The following is a 9353-nucleotide window of genomic DNA, read 5'->3' as shown; positions in this document are numbered from 1 at the left end:
GTAGTGTGTCAGTTTCAGGGTCCCTGGTAGGAAATGGATAATTCAAAGGAGTACCTGAAGAAAGTTTGGTAAAGGGACTATATGGAAAGGTGAGGCAGGGTTAAGAAATCAAAGAGGGGGCCGGGAGCTGTGGCTCACACCTGTAATTGCAACACTTTGGGAGGCTCAGGTGGGTGGATCACGAGGTCAGGAGTTCAAGACCAGCCTGGCCAAGATGGCAAAACCTCATCTCTACTAAAAATACAAAAATTAGCCAGGCGTGGTGGCTGGTGCCTGTAATCCCAGCAACTTGGGAGGCAGAGGCAGAGAATTGCTTGAACCTGGGAGGCAGAGGCTGCATTGAGCCGAGATTGCACCACTGCACTCTAGCCTGGGCGACAAAGCGAGACTCCATCTCAAAAAAAAAAAAACAAAAAAGAAAAGAAAAGAAATCAACCAGGGATGGGGACTGCCCAAAGTTTAGCAGCAGTGGAAAGCTATTTCCACTCCTGTCCTCTAAAGGCATAGTGAGACGGCAGTGGTTTCCAAGGAGACCCATAGCTGTAGAAGACAGCTGCTGAACACGAACTATGACCTTCAATAGGGAAAGGCAGCCACTGACAAACTGCAGTCCTGTGGAGGAAGCCTTGGCCTCTCTCCTCTAGCTCTCTGAGCTAGTTCCCCATATGGCTGGATCCAAGGGAGTTCAGGTGATGCAGTCTATAAAGGTTAGTTTCCTGGGGAACAGTACTGCCTCTGACAGTTGGCAGAGAGTGGATCTGAAGAGTCCACTGGAGAATAATGAGCAGAAATTGTTAGTCCTGATGGGGTGAAGCAAATATATCAGAATTGGGGGTGGCGAATGTGTATCATTTGCAAGAGCATTCTAGAAGAATGTAACCACACCCTCCCCCAAAAGATTGACTAACACTGATTAAACTGAATAAAAATACAATAGGAGAATGTCAAATAAGCTGGCTGATTGAGAAGATCATTCATTTGTTTATTCATTCATTCATGTATTCATTTATTCATCATCAAGATATCAAGATTTGCACCTCTAGATATCAAGATTACAAAACTTGATTAGACATCTCTATATGCCTGAAACTTTTTATAATACAAGTTTGAAAAAATTGGATTACACAGGGTCACTATCTTCAAGAACCTAATAGTCTGGACCAACAAGTCCAGAGGATTCCGCTTCTAAACTGGAGGATTCGGCTGCTACATGGACTCTGGGGTAGACAGACAGGAGAGCAGGAAAGGATGTTCTGGGACGGGTATTGAGTGGATGTGGAGGAGTGGTGGCAGATGAGGTGGAAGAAGCAGAAAACAACTCCAGAGTTCAAAATTGCATTGTCAGGTCTGTATTTAAGATCCTTGGATCATCAGGGCAAAGGACGGATTGGTGAAGCAAAAAACTAAGAAATAAAGTTAGAGAAATTATGTGGGGGCCAATGAGCAATACCTATGCATGAAACTAGGATCTGAACAATAGCAGGAGAACCAGAGATGAAGAGGGGATACATTGAAGAGATGGTCATGGGGAAGAATGAACAGAACTGAAGAATTAAATGGCTGTGGTGTGTGAGAGAGGGAAAATTCTTTGAGCTGTTTTGACTTCTCAATACTCCCACCCACTTTTCAGCTAATAGCTTCTGGGTTTTCCTTTGAGAGAAGGACTCCTACCTGCCCAACTGAGTGCAGTCTCCATAAAACTGTCACCCATAGTTCTTGTCTTCTCTGGCCAAAAGGGTGATCACGTGACTCAAGTCAGGACCATCAATTGCTCCCTCCTGGGAATTTGGAAATCTTGAGCTTGGCACCTAGATCCTGCCTTGGGTCTTGTCTTTGTTGAAGCCTCCATCTTCATTTTTTTCTGTAGATTCTGTGTGCTATCCATGGCTTTCTTTAAAAGTCATTTTTTGGGGAAATTCAATAAGGTAAAGTTTTTTGTTTGTTCTGAGGAACAGAACTGCCTCCGACAGTGGGCAGAGAGTAGATCTGGAGAATTCATTGGAGAACGATGAGCACAAATGGTTAGTCTGGCTGGTTGGAAACAGAAAACCTCCGCTGACTGTGGTGGCCACATGAAGGGTAGTATCTCACACAGGGAAATATACACAGGTTGACGAGAAAGTTTGAGATGGGGTTTCTTGCAGGAATGGGTGAGTAGTTTGCTTTTGAGAAACACAGGTTGAGGAGAAAGTTTGAGATGGGGTTTCCTGCAGGAATGGGCGAGTAGTTTGCTTTTGAAAAGCCTATGGAAAAGTAAAGGGGAAAATTCAAAAGTGTCCAGGGACTTTTACGCAACTCTAAAAATGACACCACAGAGTGTAAAGCCACCTCTGGCCCTTGGACATAGAAAGTTCTAAACAATAGCCTGACCTCCTAGTGATTTACCCAGTCTTCTCCAAGGAGGGTAATTGCTCCATGGGGTGGCTACCGCCTTCTGCAGATGCCCCAGAATCAGCTGAGGAAGTGGACAGAGCCACATGTTCAGCATTGGAAGCCCGGAGTCCTGGCTCTGGTTATTTCACTAATTAGCTAGGTGACCCTACATAAATGCCCGCCTTTCTCTGAAACTCAGCTTCCTTGTTCGTAAAATACAAGAGTTGAACTATATTTGGGTTCTCAAAGTATGTTCCAAGAGAATTTGCAGTTTACATGAAAAGTGGTCCTCTATACTGAGAAACTGGGTTAAATAAGCCTTAAACAGGTTTCCTTACTGCAGGACTTCTCAGGAACTTAAAAACACTCATCTGTGATGCAATTCTCCAAGAGGGGTGAAGGTGAGTAGCATTTCTCAATCTGTCTTTGCCCAAGGAGACTTTTTTCTCCTCCATGATGAAACATGTGGAATCAGTAGTCATCAGAAGGCACTTGTAGAAATGTTGGATTAGGTGATTTCTAAGGCTGTACCAGCCCAAACACTCCATGATTCTGTGTATCCTGGTGTTCTGGGCCCCTCCTGTATTTCCCACTTGCCTCCTCCTTGGGGATGATTGACTCTGAAGGAAATCCTCACCATCTGTTCTAAGGGGCTTCTCCCAGGAAAAGTCACACTTGAATGCCTATAAAGTCCCTTAAAGATACAGTCTGGCTCATGAAACCCCCCTGAGCAGCTTAAATGGAAAACGCAGTCCCCCACTGCGCTCAGAGCACAGATCCAGGACCAGCCCGAAGGGATTGCAAAACATGCTCTAGCATGCATTTGGGAAAACAAAGAAAACCGTACTGTTTTCTGCTCCAGACAGTCTGAGACGCTTTGTGCCCTTGGGCCCTTGCCCGGTTCTCTCATCTGCCTCAGTCCTGGTACTAAATTGGTTCAAGGTTTGGAGGAAAGCTTCAGAGCAAAGGGATAAAAGGATGTTTAGAGTTCTTAAATACCGAAGTCACCCTGAAGACCGGAGCATAGACCCTCGCCAGCCACCAGGGGGCGATAACAACAGCATCTGTACAGAAAGCCGTTCCCAAGAATAACAGCAGTAAATTGCACCTAATGTGTTTATGAATGATGAAGGGACTCGAGTGTGTGTGTTTGAGTGAGTGTGCGTATGTGTGTGTTTGTGTGTACGCGCGCGCAAGTGGGTGCCCAAAGCTAAGACTTTGAAAATCTGCTAAGTATAATACAATAAAATCTACAACTCTACTATATATTCACAGGATGTGGTCAAGTAGTTGAAAGTTTCCTTGAAGGAAAATGAGGTAGAAGAAATCAGAATAGTATTCTTATGAAAGAAAAGAGAAGCGCTCTCAGGAGTATAGTTGTCACTATGTGAGTGTGTGTGCGAGCATGCATGTACACGTGTGTGTGATTGCCGGTGTATAAATGGGTGTGTGTGAGCCTGAGTATGTGAGAGTGTGTGCGTGGCTGTGAATACGTAGGCACCAGTGTGTGTGTATATATATGCAGGGCTCATTCAGGCCTTCTCAGTGTGAGGGGACCTCAAGGAAATCTGGGCAATACTTCCTCCAGTTCCTGCCCTTTCCTTTCAAACAAACAAACAAAATCATTCCTACAAGTATTTATGGAGCCTCTAACGCACACGCCCCTCCCCACTGGCATCTGGAAAAGCTCAGACCTAGCCAATTTAAAGCGGGCGCTGGAAGAAAGAAGGCGCTGGGGACAGAAGGGATGCCTCGTCTGCGAATGACTTTTGCAAAAACACGTTCTCTTCTGTGATGCTCCAAACAACCCAGGGAGGTGAGGCCAGGTAGGACTGTGGCCCCGGATTTGAGAAAACGAAGGCTCAGAGATGACACGATTGGCCCAGAGTCACCCAGTCAGGAAGCAGAAACCCGAGGATGGAACAAGGCATTGTCAATCCAGGGGTCCAAGTCGCTGCCATCACTACTTTTACCAGTCCACCAAGCGCTGGGTCTGGGCAAAGCAGGGCAAGTTTCCGGGTAAGGTTTGCCAGCAGTGACCTCAACAACATGGACCACGGTGTGTGTGTGTGTGTAGCTGTGGAGTACATTGGTGTCAACCAAGGCTCTTCAGGCAAAATTGTGGATCTCTGCCATGAGTACTAGGTGCGGTAGGGAAGCGGCTTCGTGGGCGACACTGCCATGGTTTGGCGTCCCTAGCAGCTGTGCGACCTCCAGCAAGTCGCTTCACTTCTCTGAGCTGTTTTCAGACGACCCCTTGGAAGATCGTGGACTTAAGTAAAGAATATGAGTAGAGTGCTCAGCTCAGTGCAAAAATTAAAAAAAAAAAAGTGTCAGGAGCCTTATCCGTCCTTGGATCTTAACAGTGAATGAGTTTCAGTGTTTCTTTCCAGGGGCCCTGCTGGCCGAGCCCCTTTCCTTCCCTGGTTCCTTCTCTCTCCCTCCTCTACTGCCTCCTCCCTCCAGGCTCTCGGTCGCTCCAGCAAAGTTCCCAACTTAGTCGACATGACGCGCGGCGCAGCCAATGGGAGGCGGAGTTGGCGTTTCTTGGTCGGGGGGGGGCCGGAGGGGTGGGCCCCGCGTCTCCGGTGTCTGCCGTGCTCACTGAATGGAGAGAGCGAGCGCCGGCCAGCTCACCCGGCCGCCCCGTGCCCCAGCCGCAGCCGCCGCGCTCCCCAGCCCAGCCCCAAGCCGGACCTCCCCGGGCGCCACGCCCCATTGCGCTCGCCCCAGGTCCCCAACCCGGCCCGCGGGCCAGCGGGGCCAGGGGGCGCTCCGCACCTGGGCACTCCCAGCGATGCGCAGCGGGGCAGCGCCGGCCCCGCCGATGGAGCTGCTGTTGCTGCCGCCGCCGCCGCCCGGAGCGCCCCGCTCCGCCCGCGCCCCGTGCGCCTGAGCACCGAGCTCGCCCCTCCTCCGCGCTAACTCCGCCGCCCGCTCCCCAGGCCGCCCGCGCTCCCCGCGCGCCTCCTCGGGCTCCACGCGTCTTGCCCCGCAGAGGCAGCCTCCTCCAGGAGCGGGGCCCTGCACACCATGGCCCCCGGGTGGGCAGGGGTCGGCGCCGCCGTGCGCGCCCGCCTGGCGCTGGCCTTGGCGCTGGCGAGCGTCCTGAGTGGGCCTCCAGCCGTCGCCTGCCCCACCAAGTGTACCTGCTCCGCTGCCAGCGTGGACTGCCACGGGCTGGGCCTCCGCGCGGTTCCTCGGGGCATCCCCCGCAACGCTGAGCGCCTGTGAGTACCCCTGCCCCACCCCACGCGGGCCACCCACCTGGGTCCCACCGAGGGGGCCCCAGGCGCCAGATCCGTCCTTTCCCCTCGGCCTCCCTGGATGCAGTCTCTATTCTCATCCCTTCCTGGATACGATCCCTCACTCTCCGAGCTGGGGGTCTGTAGGCTTGGTCAGATCTGGAAAGAGAGGTCTCGAAACCCCCAGCGATGGGCAAAGAGCAGTGCCTCTCCAGGGGTGAGGGTTCCAGACGCAGGGCCCGCTGACAGCTTCCAAGGAGTAGCTGAGGAGAGGCGAGGGGAGGCAAGAGCACTGCAGCCTCAAGGTCTTAGGGTGAGGGTCAGGGGTCTGCGCTCGTTAAAAAGGGGGGCGGGCGAAGGAGAAAGCTATAGGATGATGGGCCGTCAAGGCGCGGAGGCGGGAGAGAGGGCCCGAGACTGTTGACCTGCTTGGAGATCAGAATGGGCCAGCCGCTCTCTGGCTGCCCTTGCAAGGAAAGTTGAGAGTGTGGGTGAAGGTTTAACTTCTGAGGAACTGGACAGATTCAGAGTGGGTGCTCGCAAAACCCGCTCTGCCTGGAGCGCAGTCTGGGAGATGCCAAGTTGCAGCCCCGGGTGAATTTTTTATGGCTCGGTTATAAATGCCTCCCCGAACGAAGGGGCCGGAGAATGGAAATGCTGACAGCCCTTCAAATGAGACCGAGCGTTATAATCTTACAAACCGCACTCAGCCTCAGATCCTGGGCTTGGCAGCGAATGGAGAGGCGCTTGGAGAATGGGGTGGATTGACCCTAGTTTTAGCCCCAATTGTGCAACCAAATATTTACTTTTCATATGTCAACGTTTTGGAAACATTTATCATTTTGATCCTCGGACCAGATTCAAAACTTGGACTCCGGGGTGGGCTCCTCTTAGTCCGCAGTTGGGGTGGGGTAAGGGAGTGGGGGAGAAACGCTGGAGTGGGTGGGAAGCCTTACTGGGAACCCAGCCGAGAAGTGGGTGAGGGTTTGCTCTAGTGTGGTAGATTCCCTCCGTGTCTTGCTCTCCCTCTTCTCCCCTTCCTCATGTGCCTTAGGGGTAGGCGCCTGGATCTTCCACTCTGCTTTCTTGACTTCAGGCTGGAAGAGAGTAGTGATGACAAGCATTGTCCTAGAGTGTGTTATTCCTGCTAGTCACCTCCTATCACCCCACCTCCTCTTCTCTTCCACTTCTTTGTGCATCTCTGGGTGGAGACTCAGCAGAACTGTCTTCCTTATTCCTGGTGCTCTCTTTTTCCTTTGGCTCAGTACTTTTTTGTTTTTCCACAAGTGCAGTGATTGTTTTGTTGGGTTGAACCACAGAATCCTAAAGGGTGAGAGCCGAATCTTTATTAACACATGTCGAAAACCAGGCTTGGAAGTGTAAAATGACTTGCCCAAGAAAACACAGCAAGTTGACGGCAATAAAGGGGCTAGAATCCAGGTTTTCACACCTTAATTCAGACATTAAGTTAGTCCATAGGAGTGAAAAACTTGTTTTAGTGGTATTTTTAGATACCTATAACTTGTAAACTAAGTTCCCCTCCTCGTCACACCAGTGCTAGCCACATGAGTTAGTGAAATAATAATTATAGCTAATGTTTGATAAATGCTTTTCATGCCTTGATTTGTGTATATGTATTATCTCATTGAATCACTCCAACAGTCCTGTTAGTTACATAGGCAATGCTTATTACTCCCTTTCACAGTTAAGCCATCTTGTCATTTACTCAAGGTCGTGCAGCTAGTGAAGTGTTTGGATCCAAGCCTGACTGGTTCCTAAGCCCACAACCGTTATCACTCTCCTGGTCATCCTTGGAACAAGGGTCAGTTTGGGCCACGATCTATAAACAGACAGTCTTGGGAGGGTTCTGGCTGGGCTTGGATCTTAGAATAGGCTGCTGTTGCTTCTGCTTCTGGTATACCCTGCAAATGTTCAGCTCACTTTGATGTTAGGTCTGCTGCTTGGGGTCTCGCAACTACATCTTCCGCATCTTCAAAATCGTGCTCCATGTTTGGGAAACCAAGAAGAGTAAGTCCCTCTCCTCCTGGTGTGTAGGAAGTTTTCCAGAGCTGCAGGAACCGCACCCATGCCAGCATGCCACCGAGTCATCTTCCTTAGGGGATCTGTGCAGCTCAGGGCAACCCATCAGCTCTAGAACTGGAGAAACAGGACAGAGACTGGAGTCCTGGTCATTCCCAGAGGCCCCCTGCTGCAGTCGTTAATAGGCAGTGGCAGAGCAGGAGCTTCTTTGATGTCTCTGGTCTCTTCTGCCTCAGTTGTGGTCACTGGTGCCACTTTGGCCAGGGTGCATGGGGGTGCCGCGATGGTATCTCATTCTAGTCTCCTTCCTCCCTGGGAATGGGGGACAGTCTGTAGGAGCAAGCTGGGTCAGGTTCACTGCAGGGTTTCAGGGCAACCCACCAACAGTCCTTCACCACCAAAGTCCTGCACCACACTCTCTCTCAGCCAACTCAAATGTAACATTTCAATTCTGAAAACTCTTGGGGGATATTTGGCATTTTTACTCTCTGCCAAGGATTTCTTCAGAGGAATCACTCATTTATTCCTGCCTTCATTCATTCAACAAACATTACTTGAAGCCGGGCGCAGTGGCTCATGCCTGTTATCCCAGCACTTTGGGAGGCTGAGGTGAGAGGATCGCTTGAGCCTAGGAGTTTGAGAACAAACATGACTTGAACCTCTACTGCATTCCAGAAACTGTATATAGAACCATTGCAAATACAGAAGAAAACCAGCACTTCAATGTAAAGAATGTAAGCAAAAGATAGAAGGAAACTTGCTTTGGTGAGCCTTTTGAACTTCCCAGGGTTCATGTTGCCATGGGGCACGTTTTGTCAGCACTGTCATCAGATGCTCAGGACCTTCCTAAAATCCAGTTTTCTGATCTCAAAGGTTTAAATTGTGTTTTAAAACAAAGAAACTGCATTTTCTCCGTTCTCCATTCTTGGTACTCTGCCTCCCAAAAAGGCTTTGATGAAGGGATTTGTGTGTGTGTGTGTCTGTGTATATTGCTTCTCTGGATGTTTTTGACTTCTGAAACCTTGTGTTATGACATTAAGGAAAACCTGAGTGGGGATAATGTGCTCACCATTTGGACTTTGCTTCAGGCCTGGAATGGGGCCTCAATTGTTCATAATTAAGCCAGAATCAGAATTGGGGGGTCTGTGTTCCAAGATCTTCCCTATAATGTCAGAACATCACGCAGAAAAAGAAACTCTGTCTTTTATAAACTACTGACAATTTTTCCCCCTCCATGAGGAGGTGACACCCACAAGAAAGCTAAATAAATGCAGAGAAGAATTCAGTGTAATTTATTATCCGTGCAGCAAAGATAGAGGACGAGAGGAGAGGAAGTGGATGGCGGTGCCTGAAACCAAACATTTACCATGGAGCACAGAGTAAACAGATGTTGCACTTACCCTTCTGACTACAAAAGGAGCCCACAGATGTAATTCTTCTCCAACCACAATCTCAGCCTGGAAAAAGAGGAGGCAGATGAAAATGAACTCTCACACGGGGCCACTTCTCCCCATCTTGCCGTCCTTGTCTAGAGGCAGGCAGAGGCCCACTTCTCACTGCAGTGAGGGGTGGCCTGAACGGTGGAGTGGGGGCAAGAGTGGACATCTTTGGTTTTTCACTTGGCTCTGGAACATGCTGGAGACTGCTGTATTTAAATAAACATTTCCTGTTTGCGAAGGAGAACGGGCGAAAGGC

The 9353-nt window shown here is 49.9% G+C and overlaps 1 protein-coding gene across 2 annotated transcripts in view; it reads left to right on the top strand.

Annotated features, from left to right (window-relative positions):
- SLIT3 (slit guidance ligand 3) overlaps nucleotides 4977-9353 on the top strand; it is a 639400-nt gene continuing 635023 nt past the window's right edge. For both annotated transcript variants that reach the window (NM_003062.4, NM_001271946.2), the window contains exon 1: nucleotides 4977-5603. In NM_003062.4, coding sequence (NP_003053.2) covers nucleotides 5407-5603 — 197 coding nt within the window. In that variant the 5' untranslated portion in view covers nucleotides 4977-5406. The remainder of the gene's footprint in view (nucleotides 5604-9353) is intronic.

Source organism: Homo sapiens, chromosome 5 (genome assembly GCF_000001405.40).
Source record: "Homo sapiens chromosome 5, GRCh38.p14 Primary Assembly".
Taxonomy (NCBI): Eukaryota; Metazoa; Chordata; class Mammalia; order Primates; family Hominidae; genus Homo; species Homo sapiens.
This window is presented reverse-complemented; position numbering and strand designations above follow the sequence as displayed.